Source organism: Homo sapiens, chromosome 13 (genome assembly GCF_000001405.40).
Source record: "Homo sapiens chromosome 13, GRCh38.p14 Primary Assembly".
In the NCBI taxonomy this organism is placed as follows: domain Eukaryota; kingdom Metazoa; phylum Chordata; class Mammalia; order Primates; family Hominidae; genus Homo; species Homo sapiens.
The window spans coordinates 87,341,363-87,367,541 of record NC_000013.11 but is presented as its reverse complement, the minus strand read 5'-3'; the positions used below and the strand labels follow the sequence as shown (position 1 = coordinate 87,367,541).

The window sequence follows — 26,179 nt, the reverse complement described above, 5'->3', positions numbered from 1 at the left end:
GCACGAGCTTCAGCAGCCAATTTGATCAAGTAGAAGAAAGGGTATCAGTGATTGAAGATCAAATGAATGAAATGAAGCGAGAAGAGAAGTTTAGAGAAAAAAGAGTAAAAAGAAACAAATAAAGCCTCCAAGAAATACGGGACTATGTGAAAAGACCAAATCTACGTCTGACTGGTGTACTTGAAAGTGACGGAGATAATGGAACCAAGTTGGAAAACACTCTTCAGGATTTCCAGGAGAACTTCGCCAACCTAGCGAGGCAGGCCAACATTCAAATTCAGGAAATACAGAGAACGCCACAAAGATACTCCTCGAGAAGAGCAACTCCAAGACAAATAATTATCAGATTCACCAAAGTTGAAATGAAGGAAAAAATGTTAAGGGCAGCCAGAGAGAAAGGTCGGGTCACCAATGAAGGGAAGCAATTCAGACTAACAGCAGATCTCTCGGCAGAAACTCTACAAGCCAGAAAAGAGTGGGGGCCAATATTCAACATTCTTAAAGAAAAGAATTTTCAACCCAGAATTTCATAACCAGCCAAACTAAGCTTCATAAGTGAAGGAGAAATAAAATTCTTTACAGACAAACAAATGCTGAGAGATTTTGTCACCACTGGGCCTGCCTTACAAGAGCTCCTGAAGGAAGCACTAAACATGGAAAGGAACAACTGGTACCAGCCACTGTGAAAACATGCCAAATTGTAAAGACCATCAATGCTAGGAAGAAACTGCAACTAATGAGCAAAATAACCAGCTAACATCATAATGACAGGATCAAATTCACACATAGCCATATTAAACTTAAATGTAAATGGGCTAAATGCTCCAATTAAAAGACACAGATTGGCAAATTGGATAAAGAGTCAAGACCAATCAATGTGCCATATTCAGGAGACCCATCTCACATGCAGAGATACACATAGGCTCAAAATAAAGGGATAGAGGAAGATCTACCAAGCAAATGAAAAGCAACAACAAAAAAGCAGGGGTTGCAATTCTAGTCTCTGATAAAACAGACTTTAAACCAACAAAGATCAAAACACACAAAGAAGGCCATTACATAATGGTAAAGGGATCAATTTAACAAGAAGAGCTAACTACCGAAATATATATGCACCCAATACAGAAGCACCCAGATTCATAAAGCAAGTCCTCAGAGACCTACAAAGAGACTTAGACTCTCACACATTAATAATGGGAGATTTTAACACCCCACTGTCACATTAGACAGACACACGAGACAGAAAGTAAACAAGGATATCCAGGAATTGAACTCAGCTCTGCACCAAGCAGACCTAATAGATATCTACAGAACTCTCCACCCCAAATCAACAGAATATACATTCTTCTCAGCACCACATCACACTTATTCCAAAATTGACCACATAGTTGGAAGTAAAGCCCTCCTCAGCAAATGTAAAAGAACAGAAATTTTAACAAACTGTCTCTCAGACCACAGTGCAATCAAACTAGAACTCAGGATTAAGAAACTCACTTAAAACCGCTCAATTACATGGAAACTGAACAACATACTCCTGAATGACTACTGGGCACATAACGAAATGAAGGCAGAAATAAATATGTTCTTTGAAACCAATGAGAACAAAAACACAACATACCAGAATCTCTGAAACACATTTAAAGCAGTGTGTAGAGGGAAATTTATAGCAATAAATGCCCACAAGAGACAGCAGGAAAGATCTAAAATTGACACCCTAACATCACAATTAAAAGAACTAGAGAAGCAAGAGCAAACACATTCAAAAGCTAGCAGAAGGCAAGAAATAACTAAGATCAGAGCAGAACTGAAGGAGATAGAGACACAAAAAACCCTTCAAAAAAGCAATGAATCCAGGAGCAGGTTTTTTGAAAAGATCAACAAAATTGATAGACCACTAGCAAGACTAATAAAGAAGAAAAGAGAGAAGAATCAAGTAGACGCAATAAAAAAAAGATAAAGGGGATATCACCACCAAACCCACAGAAATACAAACTACCATCAGAGACTACTATAAACACCTCTACGCAAATAAACTAGAAAATCTAGAATAAATTGATAAATTCCTGGACACATACACTCTCCCAAGACTAAACCAGGAAGAAGTTGAATCTCTGAATAGACAAATAACAGGCTCTGAAATTGAGGCAATAATTAATAGCCTACCAACCAAAAAATCCAGGAGCAGACAGATTCACAGCTGAATTCTACCAGAGGTACAAGGAGGAGCTGGTACCATTCCTTCTGAAACTATTCCAATCAATAGAAAAAGAGGGAATCCTCCCTAATTCATTTTATGAGGCCAACATCATCCTGATACCAAAGCCTGGCAGAGACACAACAAAAAGAGAGAATTTTAGACCAATATGCCTGATGAACATCGATGCCAAAATCATTAATAAGATACTGGCAAACCAAATCCAGCAGCACATCTAAAAGCTTACCCACCACGATCAAGTTGGCTTCATCCCTGGGATGCAAGGCTGGTTCAACATACACAAATCAATAAATGTAATCCAGCATATAAACAGAACCAAAGACAAAAACCACATGATTATCTCAATAGATGCAGAAAAGGCTGTCAACAAAATTCAACAGCCCTTCATGCTAAAAACTCTCAATAAACTAGGTATTGATGGGATGCATCTCAAAATAATAAGAGCTATTTATGACAAACCCACAGCCAATATCATACTGAATGGGCAAAAACTGGAAGCATTCCTTTTGAAAACTGGCACAAGACAGGGATGCCCTCTCTCACCACTCCTATTCAACACAGTATTGGAAGTTCTGGCCAGGGCAATCAGGAAAGAGAAAGAAATAAAGGGCATTCAATTAGGAAAAGAGGAAGTCAAATTGTCCCTGTTTGCAGATGGCATGATTGTATATTTAGAAAAACCCATCGTCTCAGCCCAAAATCTCCTTAAGCTGATAAGCAACTTCAGCAAAGTCTCAGGATACAAAATCAATGTGCAAAAATCACAAGCATTCCTCTACACCGATAACAGACAAACAGACAGCCAAATAATGAGTGAACTCCCATTCACAATTGCTTCAAAGAGAATAAAATACCTAGGAATCCAACTTACAAGGGATGTGAAGGACCTCTTCAAGGAGAACTACAAACCACTGCTTAACGAAATTAAAGAGGACACAAACAAATGGAAGAACATTCATGCTCATGGATAGGAAGAATCAATATTGTCAAAATGGCCATACTGCCCAAGGTAATTTAAAGATTCAATGCCATCCCCATCAAGCTACTGATGACTTTCTTCACAGAATTGGAAAAAACTACTTTAAATTTCATACGGAACCAAAAAAGAGCCCGCATTGCCAAGTCAATCCTAAGCCAAAAGAACAAAGCTGGAGGCATCACGCTACCTGATTCAAACTATACTACAAGGCTACAGTAACCAAAACAACATGGTACTAGTATCAAAACAGAGACATAGACCAATGGAACAGAATAGAGCCCCCCGGAAGTAATACTACACATCTACAACTATCTGATCTTTGACAAACCTGACAAAAACAAGAAATGGGGAAAAGACTCCCTATTTAATGAATGGTGCTGGGAAAACTGGCTAGCCATATGTAGAAAGCTGAAACTGGATCACTTCCTTACAACTTACACAAAAATTAATTCAAGATGGATTAAATACTTCAATGTTAGACCTAAAACCATAAAAACCCTAGAAGAAAACCTAGGCAATACCATTCAGGATATAGGCATGGGCAAGGACTTCATGACTAAAACACCAAAAGCAATGGCAATAAAAACCAAAACAGAGAAATGAGATGTAATTAAACTAAAGAGCTTCCGCACAGCAAAAGAAACTACCATCAGAGTGAAGAGGCAACCTACAGAATGGGAGAAAATTTTTGCAATCTACCCATCTGACAAAGGGCTAATATCCAGAATCTACGAAGAACTTAAGCAAATTTACAAGAAAGAATCAACCCCATCAAAAAGTGGGCAAAGGTTATGAACAGACACTTCTCAAAAGAAGACATTTATGCAGCCAACAGACGCATGAAAAAATGCTCATCATCACTGGCCATCAGAGAAATGCAAATCAAAACCACAATGAGATACCATCTCACACCAGTTAGAATGGCGATCATTAAAAAGTCAGGAACAACAGGTGCTGGAGAGGATGTGGAAAAGTAGGAATGCTTTTACACTGTTGGTGGGACTGTATACTAGTTCAACCATTGTGGAAGACAGTGCGGCGATTCCTCAAGGATCTAGAACTAGAAAAAACATTTGACCCAGCCATCCCATTACTGGGCATATACCCAAAGGATTATAAAACATGCTGCTATAAAGACACATGCACATGTATGTTTATTGCATTTATTGTGGCACTATTCACAATAGCAAAGACTTGGAACCAACCCAAATGTCCAACAATGATAAACTGGATTAAGAAAATGTGGCACATATACACCATGGAATACTAAGCAGCCATGAAAAATAATGAGTTCATGTCCTTTGTAGGGACATGGATGAAGCTGGAAACCATCATTCTCAGCAAACTATCACAAGGACAAAAAACCAAACACCACATGTTCTCACTTATAGGTGGGAATTGAACAATGAGAACACATGGATACAGGAAGGGGAACATCACACACCGGGGCCTGTTGTGGGGTTGGGGTAGGGAGGAGGGATAGCATTAGGAGTTATACCTAATGTAAACAAGGAGTTAATGGGTACAGCACACCAACATGGCACATGTATAAATATGTAACAAACTGCACATTGTGCACTTGTACCCTAGAACTTAAAGTATAATTAAAAAAATGAAATATGAGTAAACTATTGAACATGCTTTATCTGTGATGAGACCATAAAAACTCAGAGTTGGATGTTTAGCTGAAATAATCAGATAAATATTCAACTCAGTTTCAGGGTTTGTTTGATTGTTAAAGGTGGTGGTAGGGGGTGTTAAAGGGATTAAACATGGAAAAAGCTATTGCATGATATAATTTGGTGGGGGGAAATTTGAAGCATAACATACTAAAATCTCACCATGATACCTGCCCAATCATCATGGCTTACACCCTTCTTTGTGATTCTACAGTACCCATTTTAGTAATTTTACACAACTCATGCCAATCTCTGCTTGATTTAATAAATATAAGTTACCTATATGTTGGCAGAGCATAAAACTTAAAAACATAAATTCATTAATAGAATTAAACACTAATGAACTTGATCTTCCCACTCAATGGAGGAATTAGATTTATGAAGCTAAAAGACATGCAGTATCCCTTTATGTATAAATATCTAAGGCCATCTGTGTTTCAACCATGAAAGAGGATAAGTTGAAGGAAAAAGAAAGTCAGGAGCAGGTAGCCGTACAATCAACAATTCTGCAAATTCTTTTTCGTAGTTAATATTTATTCATCTTTCTTAGATTAAAAGTATTCTGTATATTACCAAGGAAATAGCAGTAAACAAAGCCGAGAGGATGCCAACACTCAAATCTTATAAAGGCTCTCCCTTATAAATGTTTCCTCACATTTACTCTGAAGTTATCTATAAATGTCTATGTTCAATAACCTCATTAAGAAAACGTTATTAGATGGATACAAATTGAGAGAAAGAGAAAACTTTCGACATTATCACTGGTTTCAGGGAAAAGCCTAGGTAACCTTGTTGACTATCAGGCTTGACAATTCTAGGATCTCCAGGAAACGATATTTTTCAGTCATACTATATTAATTGTGTGTGTGTGTATATATATATATATATACACACACACACGTATATATACACACACAATATATGTATATATAAAATATATGTATATATAATATATATGTATATATAAAATATGTGTATACATAATATATGTATATATAAAATATATTTATATATAATACATATGTATATATATGTGTGTATATATATACAATTGTGTATATATATACACAATTGTGTGTGTATATATAGAGATATATATATATATAATAGCAAGTCAATCAGGAATGTCAATAAATAATTGTTGTAGTATCAAGAGAGATCACAGAAAAATAATCTCCTGACTGTAATACTGTGGATTTTGTAAAACACAGATGCAACAGAAGGCTTGAGGGTAAAGATCGAATGGTTGTGTGTACTGAACCTTTATGCCCATTGATTAGTAACTCCTCATTTCTCTTTTCTCCCAGTAACTGGCAATCACCATTCCAATCTTTGATCCTTTAAATGTGGCTATTTTAGATACCTCATATAAGGGCAATTATGCATTAATATTCTTTTTGTGTCTGGCTTATTTCCTTAGAGTAATGTTCTTAAAGTTCATTCATGTTGCCATGTGAATGTGACATGTCACATTGTGTGTATGTGAGAGAGTGTGTGTGTGTGTGTGTGTGTGTGTGTGGTGGTGGTGGTGGTGGTGGTGGTGGTGGGACAAGCATTTAGTTTTTAACCAAAAGCTGAGGATTTTCAAATGTTCATACAATATCCCCAAGGTATTTAAGAAGAGATGATTAACAAACATCTAAATTAATGCTAATGATTATGAATAAATGACTTTTAATGTATTTTTAAAGTTAGAATTTTGTGAAAATACTTTAGAATTTAGTTAATGAAGTTTTATATATATAATATTTTATACTGGACATTAGGCTAAGCAGTTTTACATTAATTTTCTTATGTAATCCTCCATATAATCCTATAAATTACATATTATTATTCCAATTTCATATAAAAGGGAATTGAGGCTTAGAGAAATTAAATAATTTAGCCAAGGTCATGTTAGTAGTACGTGGTAGAGCCTGTATTCCAACACGAGCAAGCAGAATACATTAAAAAAAAAAAAGGAATGAACTATGACTAGAGGTATGCAAAACTACAGTACAAACTACCAAGAAATTACCAATCATGATGATACAATTTTGGCTTAAAAATACTTCTGTGTTAAAAATGTTATGTTATTGTGGTAAGAACATTTAACATGAAATGTGTCCTGTTAACAGATTTTTAACTGTATAATGCATTATTGTTGACTATAGGTACAACATTTTATAGACCTCTAGAGCTTATTCATCTTGCTTTACTGAAACTTTATGCCCATTGATTATTAACTCCTCATTTACCTTTTCTCCCAGCCCCTGGCAATCACCATTCCAATCTTTGATTATATAAATTTGGCTATTTTAAATACCTCATATAAGGGCAATTAGGCATTATGATTCTTTCTGTGTCTGGCCTATTCCCTTGGAGTAATGCTTATAAAGTTCATTCACATTGTCACATACTGCAGAATTTTCTTCTGTTTTAAGGCTGAGTCATACTCTCTTATATGCATATATCACACTATTTTTATCTACTCATCTACCAGTGGACATTTAGTTTGTTTCCATATCTTGGCCATTATAAATAGTACTGCAATATGTATAGGAATACTAATACTTCTTCAAAACCTTGATTTCAATTATTTTGGGTAAATATTTAGATGTGGAATTGCTGAATCAAATTGTTAAAATGTTCATAATTAAAAATGACCCTAAAAATACTTTAAATTGTATACAAAATCCTAAAATATAATCAGAGTAGATTATATGTGCTTATAAATTATATAGATATACAGCAAGATAGATTTATAGATATATGTATATAAGTATAGACATCTATATATAGAAATCTAGGTATATAATATATAAATATTATAAAAATAGAGAATATAGATTATATAGAATAACTTATGCTTCTTGTCACTCTTGTCTCTTGTAATATTTATAGATTATATAGAATAACTTATGTGTGTTATTTTCTTGTCACTTGTAATATTTAACAAGTAGGTAATAAAACACTACATATCTTCTCTATATTTTCATACAAATATTATCCTAACTGTAGTACAAAACTTGCATAAGACAAACATACAGAAATGCAATACTTTCAAAACATAATGTGAAACATCTTTCACACATACTAATACAATATTCAAGCCATATATTCAGTGGCTGCTGACTCAGGATAAATGATAATAAAAATGGTAGTAACTATTTAATTCTTAGCTTTATCCAAGTCTGTTGAAACAATGCACAACCCCTTTCCCCTCTTTTTTCTTTCTGGGATGACTTTTACATATATGTATGAAATATTTTTTGTTGGACTACTGAACATGAGGTCTTATTCATTTTTCTTTTTCCCCATCTGTGCTTCAGTTTTAACATTTTCTATTGACCCATCTTCTAGTTTACAGATGTTTTCTTCTAAAGTATCCCATCTACTTTTTATGCCTATCTGATAATTTTCTAAAAAATACTGGGAATTTTCAAGTTCTATAATTTTCATTTTTTTATACTTCCAACTTTCTCCTCGACGTTTTTCATCTATTTCAATATAATGTTCATCTGTTACTTCAAATCACTGAATATATTTACAATAGCTCTTCTAAGATATTGTCAGCCAAATCCAACATTTAGATATATTTCTATGGGGTTTTTCTTCTATTTATGCTTCAGACTCTTCTGCCGCTTTGTGTGTGTGTGTGTGTGTATATATATATATTTAAGTTTTATGCTGACATCATAAATTTTACATTGATGAGACTTTAAATTATGTTGTCCTTCTAAGGAAAGTATTCTTTTTTAAATTCATAAAGCAATTAATTTACTGACTGCTCAAAATGATGTTTTAGGAGTTTTGTTTTGTGATTCTTAGAGCATGTTAGAATTGTTCTTATTCTGGAGCAAGATTAGGTCACTTCAGATGTTTGGCCTATTTGTCGTCTCAACTGCTTCAGTGAGCTTTTTGTGAAATTTCTAAACACTGAATGGTTGTAACTTCTGTGTCTCCTAGAATTATGTGAACTTCTGAATGTCCATTTAACTCACAGTTCTTCAGTAGCTGATTCTTCCAGAGATCACATTTTATTTTGTTTTGTACATATACAGCTATGTACTTGGACAAATGCTTGGAGAGACTTCTATGCAGATTCTAGTGTGCTCCCTTTTTGCTCTCTTCAGAATCCTGATTTGCATATTTGAGCAATCTCCACAGTACTAATCTCTGCCACATGCTTTTTATGCCAGTGGAATTGCCAATCTGTTAGGATTTCACCCCTCTGTGCTGTTGTATGAAATTGGTTCTAAGGCAGAAAGCCCAGGCATGTGGAGCTCCCATTATATATTTCCCTTATCAAATGAATCAAAGACTTGCAATATTTGTTGTCCAAGACCTGAAAACAGTTGTTTTCCATGACGGGTTTAGTTTTATCATTGTTTATGGTAGTAGGGGAAATTCTGATGTTCATTTTTCCAGCATAGGTAGAACCAGAACTGCCCATGTTACTAAACTTAAACTGTAAATAAATAAATAAATAAACTAATTAAAAATACTCATAACATACACCTGGCTTACAAGCTTCCATGCTTTTCTACTCGTAGTGCTTTATTTCACTCATCTTTGTCAATGCCAAACTGTGGCCTCTCTCAAGGAAAACCTTCATATGCCTTCTGTGATTAATCCATTCTATTTTGTATGTAAATTCTTATGTCTATTCTTTACAACCTATTTTGAAGTAATCTCATACTGTTCATTGATGTGACTTACACTGTTTTACTACATTAAAATATATTCTATTAATTTCTCAATTATGTTCATGTGGTTATATTTTCCTTTTATGGGAATTAAAGTCTACATTTATATGTTTTCTTTCAATAACTATAAAGTAATACTCAAACATTATCTTACCAAAATATTCGATGATTAACTTTAATTTCAATACTCATAAACAGTAATTTTTAATCATAAATATATAAAATTAATGAAACCACATATTTAAAATCGATTTTTAGTTTTATAATTGCTTAGTGTTATTTATTCAGCATTATTAGATATGTTAGGTAAATAAATAATTTTGAATTGTTAGCAATGAAAATTTACTACACTAAATATCTTTATTTTTTAAGATATAGAAACTTAGACTGAGGGAAGTTTAATGATATCAAAGACCAGACATCGTCTTAAACACTGCATTAGAGTTCACCCACTTGTTTTCGGACTTCTAATTGAATGCTCTTTGTACTAAACAGTCTGAGTGTGCACTTTCCATGTGATTTATAAAGAAACAGAAAATTTTTAAAACCTGGTTCATGAAAAGTATGCAATCAATTCAAATAATTGAAGCAATAGAACACAAAATCATTTACTGAATTTCTTTTGAGTTAACTTTATAACAATTTCTGAACAGTTTGAACTTTAGGGATACATACAAAAAACAAAAATAAGAAATAATTTTATTTTTCTTCACTTACCCCACTCTGCTGTGAGTACTTTTGCTTCTTTATTGAGTAGAAGATCTTATTGTAACAGCACTGACTCCATTTTGAATCCCTGCCATGTTACAGGAAAAAATTTGCTTGAGTTTTAATTACTTCTTTGCTTAAGTTTGTAGATTACTCATTAAGAATATAACAATCTCAGAACAATAGGACCTTCAACATAAATAAAAGGGAAATATGCTGACCAGAAATTCCGGCAACAGACTGACCAGCAGTTTTAGCCACAACTAGATAAAAACAGCCTAACAATGCCAGCAAAGGTCCCAAGACATAGACCAAGACAGCAAGGACTGACTGCCTGCCTGAGATTGCACACGTAGCTCCTCCACAAGGACACTCTGATTATGACTTACACTTATCCTGATTTCCCGTAAAAACTCTTGGTCCAGAGCTACAATTCAGAGAGGTAGTCTTGAAACAAGGTCACTAATTTCCCAACTTGCCTGCTTCCCTAATAAAGCTAACTTTCCTTCTTACCAACACTTGTCTCTTGAGCATTGGTTGTTCAGGTGTCAAGTGTCCCGAACCTGAGTTTGGTTACAATATTTGGTGAGCTAGTCCGGAGTCTCATGCTCCCTGAGCTGTTTGCTCAGCTCCCAACAGATGAAGCAATTGGCCGCAGCAGTGCACCAGGGCTACCTTGTTCAGGTTACCGAGAGGCTCATTTAGATTCCCAATGGGTGGAGCAGTTGACTGTGGCAGCACGTATGGGCTAACCCTCTCTTGCTACCAGAGGTTAGCAGCAAGCCTTCAGTAACACCAGCTACTTGTGGTTGGCCACGCCTGACACAGGCAAACTGCCAAGACTCTTTTACACTTTGGGGAAACGCCCTTCTTTCCCTCAATTGACGCCAGCTGCCTATTTTCACTTCGAGCTGGTAAATGGTAACAAGCTCTCTAGATGAGCTGACCAGCTCTATAACAAGCTACATCCACCAGTGTGAACACCAGGGGTCCTCTTTCCTTACCATTTGGGCCTTTGGGGCCATTTGTGGTACCGTTGGTAGAAGAAACAACTTGTAGTGACTCCGTGCTGGTCTCCTCCCTTGAAGAAGATGGTGTTTGGGAAGCACTTCATTTGTTTTGATTGTGTGTTGTTTTCTTGTTACCATGGGAGGTATTTTGTAGATTCTGTCTCAAAGAAAAAGCATATTAGCTAACTGGTCAGCCTATAGCTATGACCTTGGGACAAAGGAAAAAACAACAACAAAAAAAATGGCATTTTGTTGTAATACAACATGGCAGATGCATGTGTTAGAAGAGAGGTGGCCTTTAGGGTTTTTGAACTTTTATACAGTCTTACAGCTTGAACAGTTTTATCAAAGATCAGGTAAATGGAAAAAAATACTTATGCTCACGTGTTTATTCTATCATGTAATAAAGATGCTTCCCAGAAAGGTTCCCAGTTAGTGGTGCAAAGAGGACTGCATAAAGTGAAATCTCATTGGCCTCTACTGCCTGAGGAAGATACAGAAGGGAAAAAGAAGTATGTTGGGAAAAAGCCAAGTGTTGAGAAAAAAACTGAGGCAAGGCTTGCGTGTCTGACATAATGTCCTCTGGAATGTGTCTAGACTTGCCGGCTCCTTGCTTCTAGCCTTCCTAGGCTCCCAGATCGATTGTATTCCCATTATCTCGAGTAGAAGAACATGTTCCATATAAATGCTAAACCGTCACAGCTGTAGATCATGTGCCTGCCCTTTTGACGCCCCACATTCTCACCACCTGTTTCTATGTTGAATTACCAATAAATAGTGTGGGCTCCCAGAGCTTGGGGCCTTAGCAGCTTCCATACACTAGCGATGGCCCCCTGGTCCCACTTTACTTCTGAAACTGTCTTTTTCTCAATCCTTTGGCTCTGTCGGACTTTGTTGCCCCCATGACCTGGTGTTGGGTCTGATCATCCCAACAGAAGCAGGAGGATAGGATAATTTTGTTAGCCTTAAACTCGCCACAGGGAAATGATGCTGTGGTGTTGCAAGTGCCTTCCCTGGTGCTGCCTGCTCTGGCACCTGTGCAGGTTCCCACGCTGACCCTGCCAGCGTTGTACACTGAACTGCTCCTTCCTCTACCCACTCCCCCAGAAGACTATTTAAATAATCCATATTTACAAGAAGCAGTGTCCCCTCGACATTATGCAAGCAGGCTGGAGACAGTCTCCTCTTTTAAGACCTGACTGGGTCTTAAATGCACAAGGCCAATGGGTCTCCCCTTTTAAGATCCAACAGGAGTTAAATGCACATGGCCAACCCATGGGATTTTGGGGATTACATTCACCTTTCTCCACTTTAGACTTAGTAAACTAAAAATAATATAAGCCCTTCCTACAGAGATGACCCATAGCACATGGCTGAATTATGTACCAGTATATTCTCCACATATTTCCTCACTTAGGTGGACATTCAAACACCATTAAATTTCATGATAATGGCTGGTAAAAGGAGACAAGTCCTAGACAAAGCCAATGATGAGGTCAGGCAGCTACTTCAGAAAGACCCTTCTAGGACCCCTGATCCCCCACAGGGACGACTCTCTTAATGGAGCTCAATTGCGACCATAACAATGGGGAATGCCAAGACTAGAATACTACTAAAAACATGTTTTGATGGGACTGAGTAAAGGAGTACCCGAGAAGCGTAGCATCAGCAAAATCCATGATCTCCAACAGGAGGCTAATGAAAATTCAGCCTCTTGGCTGGAACGAATATATCGGGCTTATAAAAAAATACTCAGGTATGGATCTAGAGGCCCCAGAAAATATTTGGACAGTCAATCTGACTTTCATCAGCCAAAGCACTTCAGGTATCAAAAGGAAATTGAAAAAATCAGAAAGAATAAACCCTTCTCTATTGGTAGAAATTGCTTACAAACTTTTCAATGCCAGAAAAACAAGAGCCAGACAAGTGCCCACTCTTGTAGAAAGCATTCAGAAAAATAAAAGAGGGCCTGAGAAGAGTAAGGGACAAAACAGAATAGGACTCCCAGGCAAAGATCAATGTGCCTACTGCTGGGGATCTGGGCATTAAAAGAATGATTGCTACAGGCTAAAAGGGAAAGATGACAGTAGAAAAAGGATAAGAGAGAAAAAGAAAAAAAAAATAGGAAGCAAAGAAACAGACAAGTAGATTGTGGCTCTGATAAGACTGAGGAGGCTCAGGTGTTTTCCTTGATATAATGGAGCCAATGATCATTTCCCCACAGAAGCCCTGGGTACGAATGACATTGAAGTATAAAATAATCGACTTCTTAGTTAATACTGAAGCAACTTCAGTTTAAATAATAAATTAACTAAAAGTACACAAGATATAGTGCCAGTGGCAGGAGTCAACAGAAAACTGGAGCAAATACCTTTCCCTCAGCCTTTAGAATCCAAATTGGGAGACATAAAGTTAAGACCTAGTTTTTTTAAAATATGCCTAATTGCCCTGTTCTGTCGTTGGAATGACAATTACTATGCTAAACTAAATGCTTAAGTAAAATTTTCTCCTAAAAAACAACATCTAAGGACCCAGATCCCACCCAAAAAGGCCTTGTGTTTGCAGACATTGATGACTCAGCCTAAAAACAAGACCCAAGAATTGTTTCCACCTGAAGTCTACTATGGAATAAGCAATACTGTTTGGGCCGATGGAGAATCCAGATGAGCTACTAGAGTTCAGATGGTCTGCATTACATTAAAAGAAGGAGATACAATCCCACATAAAAACAAACAAACAAACAAGAAAGCAGCATCCTCTGAAAAGGGAAGCATTAGAAGGCACTCTGCCAGTATTACAAAGGTATTACTTTCGAAGTATGAGCTTATTCAACCATGTCTCTCTCTATCCAATACTCCTATTTTCCCAGTAAAATAACGACATTCAAATGAATATCAATTTGTGCAATGCTCAAGAACAATTAATGATATCATTCAAGATATCCATCCAACAGTACATAACCCATACACCCAAGTCACTATTATCCCAGGAGATTATGGCTGGTTCTCAGTATGAGACTTCAAAGATACTGTCTTCTGCATACCAGTTAAAGAAAACCCCAATTCCTGTTTGCCTTTAAATGGCATGATCCAAAAGCTAAGACAATTTTCCAATATTACTATGCTATATTACTCCAAGGATTTAAAAATGCCCCCACCATTTTCGGGGAAATTTCGGCTAAAAATCTGAGTGACCTACAGTTAAACCGAAGGGTAGTATTACAGTGTGTATATGGCTTACTAATTGCCAGCCCCACTTATAAAGACTTCCTGGAAAACACATTACTGGATTTAAATAACCTGGCTGAATGGGGTTATAAAGTGGCCCCACGTAAGGTCCAAATATGCAAAAAAGACATCGTCAACTTGGGGTTCCACCTACAACAAGGTAAGCAGTCTTATGACTGATAAGAAACAGGCAGTAGCTGCCATTAAAGCCCTCCCCAAAACAGAAACAAGTAAGAGAATTCTTGGGGATGGTTCACTTTTTTTGACATTTAGATTTCTAACTTTGGACTCACAGCAAAACCCTTGTATGATGCTTTAAAATGACTGGGTCAGAACCCTTGCATTAGACAATGAAATGCCAAAATACATTTTATAATATAAATAAAAAATTAACATTAGTGTTTGCCTTGGGGCTCCCTGACCCCCAAAGCCCTTTCCCCTGTAAGTACATTAAAAAAGAGAATTGAACTAGGAATTCTGACCCAGAAACTTGGGGAAAAACTGTAACCTATTGTATATTTTTTGAAACAGAATAAACAGCCAAAGGATGGCCTCCCTGCCAGAGGGCAGTAGCTGCCACATGTGACTTATTACAAGAAACCAACAAATGTACTCTACGACAACCCATAACTGTGTATGTTCCCCATCAAGTGTTAACCCTATTTAAAAAAAGGAGATAACTGCTGGGCGTATGGGCAAATGTCAGGCCATTTTTCTGGATAATCCTAATACCACCCTCCAAACCACTGCAACCCTAATCCCCACAACACTGCTCCTTGGCAGTTCAGTGCAAGACACAGAGCCTAAGCATAACAGTTTATAAATAAATCAAGTCGTTTATTCCAGCCACCTAGACTTGTGTGATCAGCTGATAACAACTCCAGACTAGAAATTGTTCACCGATGACAGCAGTTTCATGAAAAATAGACACCATTGAGCAGGGTATACACTGACCACTCTGGAACAAATAATCAAAGCCCCTGCACTTCCCCCTGGTACATCCCCCCAAAAAGTAGAATGAATAACCCTTACCAGAGCCTTAACTTTATCCCAAAGGAAAGAGGAGAGCTGCACAGACTCTAGATATGCCTTCATGGTAATACAAGCACATGGGGCAATATAGAAAAAAAGAGATTTGCTAACCTCTAATAACAAAAATATTAAATATCCTAATAAAATACTGAATGCTAAAGGTGGTGCTGCTACCATCTAACATGGCGGTTACATATTGCTTAAGTTAAACTATCTTAATCTTTGCCAATAATACATAAAAAACTGATTGTTAGATTTGCCATTCCAACCACTACTCAGTATATGACATGTGGGACCATTTAGTATGTCGCGTATACCATAAAAAACCAAGAGTTACATATATTGTCAGAATCACTCATTTCACCTCTGAAAAGACACAATCCCTCATGCCTTTCCAGGTGGGTAAAAACTAATGCCAATTAAACAAGCTACACATTGACTCCAACACCAGGGAAGACCCTCCCCCTCTAAAACCAAGAACCTGTAATCATATCCATAACAGATGATTTAATAGATTTCCCTGGAAATACTTGGGGAAAACAATACAGCCATTTAGATTAGTAAAACAAATGAGTATATGTTTTGCCCCCTGGAAGATATATATTAATATAACTTCCTGATTGAGTACCATGGGCATATCATTGCTTGTAAAATGACACACATTCAGGATAATGCCTAATAGACATGTTAATAACTCCTTTCACCCTTCACGCTCCTAAAAAAATAAAAAAACACAATAAAGACATTGGACAAGCTCTCTCAAGACTTGAAAGACTTTCTTTCTGACCATATACCCATATACCTTCAGAACCCATGTACTTCTTTGGGTACTCTTTTCTGCCTTCATGGGGGAATGGCTTTATATTATCATGAACTGATAAATCTACCCAGGACTTTAATCGTAATTGCTACTGGAGCCACTAAGTCTCTTGCAAACTTACAAAACTTAGTAGATCCATTAATACAAGTAGTGCTAAATAACAGAATAGTCCTAGACTATATTTTAACAGAACGAGATGGTGTTTGTGTTGTTACTAATTCCTCCTGTTGCATATATATCAGTACTTCCTCTCAAGTAGAAACAAACATTTAAAAAGTTAGAGAGCAAGTGATCTGATTACAACAAACTCTAAACCATTATATCTCCTTGTTTGGAGGAGGCTGGGATTTGTTTTTTAGCCTATTCTCTGAACAAAATATCAGCATGATACTATCTGCTGAACTAAAATCAGCATGACAGAAAATTTTTAAATTAAAATGAACAATTCTGCTAATAACTACTGATATATTCTTAAGATTTAAATTGGTAATGTTATGCTTTATCAAAAAGGTCAACAATGCCATTAATGAAAAGTTAACTCTGATTTCTCACCTACCACAGAAAAGAACAAAAACTCTGTATGACACCATGTCAAAACCTTCCAACTAAAATACCCACTATGTCCCAGTTCAGCAGAAGTAGTTACAGAAGATGAGACCTTTGCCCATTTTCTATAGATATGGAAAGATACATTGGCAGTGGGGAGTTTGTAACAACACTGACTCCATTTTGAACGTCCACCATGTTAAAGAAAAAATTTTGCTTATTTGAGTTTTAATTACTGCTTTGCCTAAGTCTGTAGATTATTCACTAAGAACAGAACAATCTCAGAAAAACGGGACCTTTGACACAGATTAAGAGAAATACGCTGACCAGCAATTTCGGGGGCAGACTGGCCAGCAGTCTAGGCTGCTACTAGGTAAGAAGAGCCTAGCGCCAGCAAAAGGTCACAAGACTCTGACCAAGACAGAGAAGATTCACTGCCTGCCTGAGATTGCACATGTAGCTCCTGCCACAAGAAGACTTTGATCACCACTTGCTCTTCCCCTGATTTCCCTGATAAACTCTGGTATGGAGCCACCATTTGAAGAGGTAGCCTTTGCATGTGAGTTCACTATCTTCCCAGGTTGCTGGCTTCCCTAATAAAGGTAACTTTTCTTCTTGCCAACACTTGTTTCTTGAGCATTGATTTTCCAAGCAGCAAGAGGCTGGAAATGAAGTTCAGTTACCTTATCAATAATGCAGGCAGATATCATAATTTTCCACATGATTTATTTATTTTTTTAAATACTTCAGTTGATTCTAGTTCTAAACTTTAATCTCATATACAATTTAAATATAATCTCTTCTCCACAGCATTGATAATTGAGATGTGTGCAGAGTATGGTCTTTTATTTCTTCTCTTTTTTCTGCAGCCTTTAGAGGAGGGTACATTATCTGTACCTGGAACATTCCTTTCCCCTTCATTCTCTAGGTCAATGGAGTTCAGACACAGAAGGGAGGAAAAAAAAAAAAAAGGAGGTGCCTTTTGATTACCTAAACTTTTTCTGTCCTTTCTATGTTAATTGTAAACATTTCTGGCTCTATTTCCTTTGTGCAGAAGACAAGAAATGCTGATTATCTTGAGAGAAGGGTGTGAATGATTTTGGAGTCTCCTAATAAGGCCTTCAAAGTCATGTTTTCTTGATTTGCAGATTCTGATGTATTTTATCTCTCCACTTACCTCAACTTCCACCCTCACATCTCATATCCCACCTAGACACTTACTATTCTCTTTGATAGCATACCAGTAAGATATCAAATGGGTACAACATTAGGAAAACTCTGAAGATTAAATAATGTAATTGAGAAAGAAACCCAGAACACAAAAAAACTGTCCCTATAAATTAGTTTATTTCAAAAAGTTTAAAACCAGGTTTTTCAGTAATTGTTGAAGCTAAACACAAATTATTTTAGTGTCTCAAAACTAAAGCAACTTTACTGAATATGAAAAAAATAGTCTCCACAAGAAGAGCTTTGTACTCTTTTAGACTTTTTAATCAAATTGTCATTGAAAATAACTTTTTTTCATAACTTATGTTCACTCATTTAACATGATCATGATCATCATAACAAATTATCTCTCATATTTGTTGAAAGGTTTCATGGAAACTAAATGAACTGGACTTCTTGTGTAAACATAGTCTCTATGTGGCCTGTAGTCTCCACCCATTAAAAGGATAAGGAAAGGAGGAGATGTCCCTGACCACTCAGAACGTATTTCTTTTTCTCTACATTGTGATAGTTAAATGTATTATTACTGTCAAATTTTAGTGACTGGATAGTATATTTCTTCACTTTTCCTCATATCTGAAACAGTATGGAGGAAACTGTGGATCTCTATTAATTATTTGTTAATTTGAAGTTAATCTTGAAATGGAAATCATCTTGTGATTTTACACTGTTTTTTGATCATAGGGAAGAATTATATATGTTATCTATCTATCCATATATATAGATCAAATTGATATTAAAGATAATAGAAATGAGGTAGTTTGGTTTTAAAGAGCAAGGTTATGTCCATCAGAAGATCTAGATAAACTATCTTCAGTTAGTCACTACACACTTATTTTCTAAGTTAACTATCCTTTAGAAAATCTCCTGGCTTTTACCATATCTATATTATATCAATTTGTATCTATGTATCTAGCTAGTTAGCTATCTTCCTATCTCTATCCCTCTACCTATCTGTGTATCTTTCATTGATATTGTAAAAGTAGATATTCCTCTGGTGGTATGATTGTTTAATTCTAGGGGGAAAAAAAATCCCCCAGTATATTCTTTCTTCTTTGCCACAATCAATATAACCAGTGGAAAATGCCAAACTATGAATTTAGCATTAAATTAAGCAAGGAACTAAGCTGAGGTGTTAGTAATAAAGAAGACAACCTAAATAACACTGAAGGATAAAGTAGCCAATATACTATAACAACCAGTGAATGCCAAGTATCTATTCCTTGGCTCTTTCTTGCCAGAGAACCATAGCTTTTGGATATTTACAAAGCTTCTGAATAAATGCAAACCAATAGTGCACATATGAAATGAGAAAATGATTCACTTCTTTCCATATAAACTATTAATTAACTTGAATAATGAGAACTCAGAGCCGGGATTTTTACCATTTTTTTTTCCATTTGAATGTCGAAGACACTTTTTTCTCTTCTTAAAATGCTTTAAACTGTATTTATAAAAAAAATGTCGGCCGGGCGCGATGGCTCACGCCTGTAATCCCAGCACTTTGGGAGGCCGAGGCGGGCAGATCACAAGATCAGGAGATCGAGACCATCCTGGCTACCACGGTGAAACCCCGTATCTACTAAAAAAAATACAAAAAATTAGCCAGGCGTGGTGGCGGGCTCCTGTAGTCCCAGCTACTCGGGAGGCTGAGGCAGGAGAATGGCGTGAACCCAGGAGGAGGAGCTTGCAGTGAGCCGAGATTGCGCCACTGCACTGCAGCCTGGGCGACACAGCAAAACTCCATCTCAAAAAAAAAAAAAAAAAAAAAAAAAAAAAAAAAAAAAAAAAAAAAAAGTCTTATTTTTATTATTTAAAAAAGGAAGTTTAGGATTTTTTTCTTAACTCTGTGAATAATGATTTGGTAGTTTGACAGGAATTGTGTTCAATCTGTATATTGCTTTGGGCAGTATGGTCATTTTAATGATATTGATTCTTCCAATCCATAAGCATGTGGTGTTTTTCTATTCGTTTATGACACCTATTTCTTTCTTTCATGTTTTGTAGTTCTCCTCATAGAGATCCTTCACCTCTTTGATTAGCTGTATTCCTAGGTATTTTATTTGTGTGTGTGTGGCTACTATGAATGGGATTGAGTTCTTGATTTTGTTCTCGGCTTGAACATATTATGTTGCATAAGAATACTAAGTGTGGACATTCTTGTCTTGTTCCAGTTCTTAGGAGGAATGTTTTCAACTTTTCTCTGTTCAGTATGATGTTGACTGAGTTTGTTGTATATGGTGTTATTATTCTGAGGTATATTCCTTTGATACCTAATTTGTTGAGGGTTTTTATCATGAAAGGATGTTCGATTTTGTCGAATACATTTTCTGCATCTATTGAGATAATCGTATGATTTTTAACTCTGTTTATGTGGTGAGTTACATTTATTCATTTGTGAATGTTGAACCATATTGTATCCCTGGAATAAAACCCATTTGATTCTAATAAATTATCCTTCTGATTTGCAACTGGATTTGGTTTGCTACTATTTTGCTGAGGATGGTAAGCATCTATTGCCATCAAAGATACTGGCTTGTAGTTTATTTTGTTGTTGTTGTGTCCTTACCTCATTTTTATATCAGAGTGATACTGGTTTCATAGAATGTGGTATGGAAAACAGTAAGGAAATTTCTCAAATAAGTAAATATAGAACTGTCATTTGATCCAGCAATCCCATTGGTAGGTATTTACCCAAAGGAAAAGAAACCATTATATAAAACAGCACCTGCACTGACATTTATCACAGCACTATTCACAATAGCAAAATCATGGAATCAACCTAAGTTTCTATCAATGGTTGATTGGATAAAGAAAATGTAGTATATCTACACCATGGAATACTATGCAGCCATAAAAAATTAAATCATATCCTTAGTAGCAACATGGATGGAGCTGGAGGCCATCATACCACATAAGTGAAATAACTCAGAAACAGAAAATCAAATACTTTATGTTCTCACGTATAAGTAGAAGCTAAACAATGGGTACACATAGACATAAAGATGAAAACAGTAGACATGGGATTCCAAAAGCAGGGATGTTGACAGAGGGTGAGGGATGAAGAACTATCTACTGGGTTCAATGGTCACTATTTGGGTGATGGGTACACTAGAATCCCAAACCCCACCATTACACAATATATCCAAGTAACACATTTGCACATGTACATGCTGAATCTAAAATAAAATATTTTAAAGATAATTTCCTTAATGATTAAAAAAGTGTTTTTCTATTATCCAAATACATGTAATATGCAAAGTATTCAGAGACCCTGCTAGCAGTACGGATTACCATAAATTAGGCAAATGAGAAAGAAGAAACACACTGATTTGATGCTTGGAAAAATGCAATAGATTTATAAGAGCTGAATAATTTGATACTCATGCTTATATGTTCTCTGTACCTTGCAATTTTAAACAGATACTCTGTTAGTGTCACCTAGCAAGAATACATAATTATCATTTCTATTGTGATGATTTTTAACATTTCAATAGTGTTAAAATGCTGAATATATATTTCTCCTGATTTTATGGTAATAGCAAAACAACTACCAACACAAATATGAAAGAATATTCTAATTACCTGAGTTGTGTGATGAATCATAAGCCAAACTGGTTTTCTTTTCTCTGATAACTACATGAGAATGTATAAGGCAGGAATGCCTAAAATCAGTGATAGATTGAAAGTTTATGAGCAGGAAAATGTGGAAACTAGAAAAGGTAAATCATGTTTTCTCAAATTCAGTTTATTCAGCTGTAAAATGATACCTTCAGGTTGAATGAAATGAACTTGCATGGTCTTTTTAGAGATAATGTGTAAAAGATAATTATTTCATAAGTATAGATCATAAGTCCTATACTTCTGACACAGAACACAACCAAACCCTTACCTTCACTTCTCTTAATTTTTCCATCCTTCTATATTGTATGTCTATTCTTCCTTTTTCTCCTACTATTATGTATATATAAACGAAAATTTACTTATAAACCCCAAAGAGGAACAATTTGTTCTTATGTTTTCTCAGCTTAAAAGCACTTGTTGAGCAGAATTTTGTTGATTTTTTTCTGCATGATAGCTTTAGTTTTAAAGATTCATTGTAAATTTTAATTTCAATGTAAGTGCAGATATTAAAGTATAATATATTAAAACGAAATATTTTTATTTTTTCCTAGATCTGGTTATGTATTGAAGCTCATTGTTTTCACCTCGGGAATTATTTATTTATATTCTATATTCCTACTATTTAAAAAAATAGCAGTGAATGATTTATTGCAAAGCATTTGTATGTTAGTAAGATATCTTGAAGTGTCCAACTCTGCACAGTGGAAGTGCTATTTGGACAAATCTGGAGGATTATGAGACATGAGTGAGAACTACAATCATTAACCATTAAAGACAGTAAGTTATACAGTATAAATAGAATAGGAGTTTTAAAATAGAGCATATAATTAATTACAGGAATTGTAATGAAATAAGTTTACTGCTTTATTGCCTTTCATAGGTTCTATGTTTACCAGGAACCAAAACACACTTAAAACTTTCATTCCTGTTACAAAACCACTTTAAATATATGACAGTCTTTTTAGACCAGAAATCACTTCACTAATTTGGAAAGAGAAACAAAGTTATGAACAATCTTAGGAAAATAAATGTTTATTTTGTCCAGATTAAAAGAACCTTTATCATTGTGAGCCAACCACTTCCCATTGTCCTTTCTTCTAATACTAAAAACCTAAGTTTCTTCTGGAAAACCATCTCGTGCCCTATTCTCAGTCTGCTGTTAGTGAAGACTGAGGTTGAATCTGTCATCCCAGTAGTAAGCACTTGAATCAAATCTGACCAAGCAGCATCTCACAATTCCTTGGCCTCAACGAGTGGCTCAGATAAAAGAGCAATCTACTTAATTATTCTATGTATTGATAATGCTGTACTTCATAAAATTTACCATAAAGGTGAAATTGATCTCTCAGTCAAGCAACTATGTGGGTGATCTTACTTCCTTACCCAACCTGTCTAATTCCAGAGGAATCTGAGGAATGCATTATGGATACTCTGCACTCACATTCAAGGCATAATTGCAAGTTTTCTTGGATATCTTTTCTTCTGTCTGGACCATTGACACTACATTTTAAAGTAACAGCTGCGATATGGACATGAAATGCTTTTCAAACTGGATATGAATATCTTGATGCTTCACTTCTTCCAGGAAAATGTTTGTCAGATTTATAATATATTGGTAATGCACATTACTTTTCGAAGATATCATGAGGTTTTGCTTTTTAAATTTTTCTTATTTCATGAAGCTATTTCTGGAAATCTAGAAAAAGATGGTCAAATCATACTCTTCCAAATGATCTGGGATTCTTTTTTACTTTTTTAGCTTAGTAGAAATCTGGAGTTTTATCATATTATTTAAAAAATTAGCATAGGTATTTTATAGAATTGTCATTTCATTGTATCTGTTCTGTATTTATGGTTGTAGTTCCATCCTCAAACCTTTTTTTTTAGTTATTATTATATGACAGAAATATAATTCTACTTATAGGAGTTTTACAGGTTTTAGAGTGATTTTTAATTTTTTTTTCTATTCTATGTTCTGGTATTTCCTACCTTTTATATTATTATTTTGTCTTGCTATTATTTTCTATTTTGCATTATATTCTGCTTTTGAAAGTGTAAGAAATAAAATACATGTATTTGTGGTAAAAATAAAGTTACCAATATCATTTTATACATTTATTTATTATTATTATTATTTTTTTTTTGAGATGGAGTCTTGCTCTGTCACCCAGGCTGGAGTGCAGTGGTGCAATCTCGGCTCACTGCAACCTCTCCCTCCTGGATTCAAGTGATTCTCCTGCCTCGGCCTGCTGAGTAGCTGGGATTACAGGTGCGCGCCACCATGCCCGGCTAATTTTTGTATTTTTAATAGAGATGGGTTTTCACCATGTTCGTCAGGCTGGTCTCAAACTCCTGACCTCGTGATCCACCTGCCTCGGCCTCCCAAAGTGCTGGGATTACAGGCATGAGCCACCGCGCCCAGCCTATACATTTATTTATTAAGTGAAAAATAGTACAGTGTCCTTTACTCCACCCTTTGTTCATTGGCTGCTGGACACATTCTCTTACAAGATATAACATTGGGAGTCCAGTTTTTTGATGCCTTTTGTTCCTACGTCAGTTCCCAGTGTCTAATGTAATAGTATAGATTGGCCCAAGATGGGGTCCATTCATTTTCTGACTACCTGAGTTATGTAAACCCTAAATGTATTATGTAAATGAAAAGCTTCAACATAAAATTTACCCTGTAAATATAACTCCTTCTGTCTCTATAAATGATCTACATAGCAACTATATAGCTTGAAACAGAAATTTGTGCTTTTATCACATGGCAATTTGGAATATGTAGAAAATATAATGGATAATTGGGGAAATATTCGAGATGTATTAGATCAGATAATTCAAATAGAGAAGAAACATCATAACAGTTGTTATTTCACTACTGACTTTAAAGCTCTTAGTTGTTGATGTAATGTGGACTAAGAATTAATATTAGTATTTACTAACTACCCTGCTTATTGTGGCAGAGCAGACAGTATATACCAATCCACATGACTGATTATTGTAAGCAATAAAAATTATTCCAGATATTGGCAATAAGTTGATTATTAGACTTCATTTACAGTGGTGTTATGTGAATTCACCTGTTTTTTGTTTGTTTGTTTGTTTCCTGAATGTGTAGTTCAGTCACAATTTAGAAGAGACTTGTATCAGGAACATAATCCAGGTAATATTTTAAACCTGAAATCTCACTGATTAAAACCACCATGTCACCCATTTACCTATATAACAAACCTGCACATCCTGCACATGTACCCCACAACTTAAAACAAATAAACAAATAAAATAAGCAAAACAAAACTGCTGGTTCAAAGTAATTCAGTTCAACTAAGTTCATCTTCACCAACAGCAGACTGAAAATAGGGCATGAGATGGTTTTCCAGAAGAGACTTAGGTTTTTCTGACTAGAAGAAAGGACAATGGGAAGTGGTTGGCTCACAATGATAAATGTTCTTTGAATCTGTACAAAATAAACATTTATTTTCCTAAGATTGTTATTACTTTGTTTCTCTTTCCAATTAAGAAATTTGATTATCTGATCTAATTAGACTACTTTATATTTAAAGTGGTATTGTAACAGGAAACTTCTTTGTTGTAATGAAAGTTTTATATGTTTGTTGTAGCAGAGTGCAATTAGCAGAGTATCTTTATTCTTATCTTGTTTGCATAACTGTCCACATTTGGAGCTTACCTCTGAAATGGTCTTGCTTTTCTTAGCATGAATTTCCTGCCATTCAATTTGAGGATAAACATTTGTTTATGTCCAACCCATTTATAAAATAGTGATATATTTTCATTCTCCATTGATAAGTCACCTGGTTATTTTTTAATATCTGTAATGAGGTTTCCTATATAACTGTGGTTAATGTACTTTTAAAAGTTAAGAGTGATAAAATAATTTGAAAATAATATGCCTAATGTAACTGAAATATATTTTGTCTCCAATAAATTATCATATTAGCGTTCTCTAGAGGGACAGAATTAATGGAATATGTATATGTATATATGTGTGTGTGTGTGTGTATATGTGTGTGTGTATATATGGAATATGTATATGTATATATGTATGTATAGGTGTGTATTCATATATGTGGGAGTTTACTAAGTATTAACTCACACTATCACAAGGTCCGACAATAGGCCGTCTTCAGGCTGGGAGCAAGGAGAGCCAGTCTGAGTTCCAAAACTGAAGAACTTGGAGTCCGATGTTCCCGGGCAGGAAGCATCCATCACGGGAGAAAGATGTAAGCTGGGAGGCCAGGCCAGTCTCTCTTTTCACATTTTTCTGCCTCCTTATATTCTAGCCGCACTCTGGCTGCTGATTAGATTGTCCCCACCCAGATTAAGAGTGGGTGTGCCTTTCCCAGCCCCCGATTCAAATGTTAATTTCCTTTGGCAATATAAGCAAGCAGAAAAATTTGAAA

The 26,179-nt window shown here is 35.6% G+C and overlaps 1 long non-coding RNA gene across 2 annotated transcripts in view; it reads right to left on the bottom strand.

Moving 5' to 3' along the window:
- LOC105370302 (uncharacterized) overlaps positions 1–26,179 on the bottom strand; it is a 112,367-nt gene that overhangs the window by 78,842 nt on the left and 7,346 nt on the right. For both annotated transcript variants that reach the window (XR_931625.3, XR_001749950.1), the window contains exons 3-4: positions 11,274–11,436; positions 10,279–10,357 (exon numbers count right to left, since the gene is read on the bottom strand). This is a non-coding gene — a long non-coding RNA (uncharacterized LOC105370302). The remainder of the gene's footprint in view (positions 1–10,278; positions 10,358–11,273; positions 11,437–26,179) is intronic.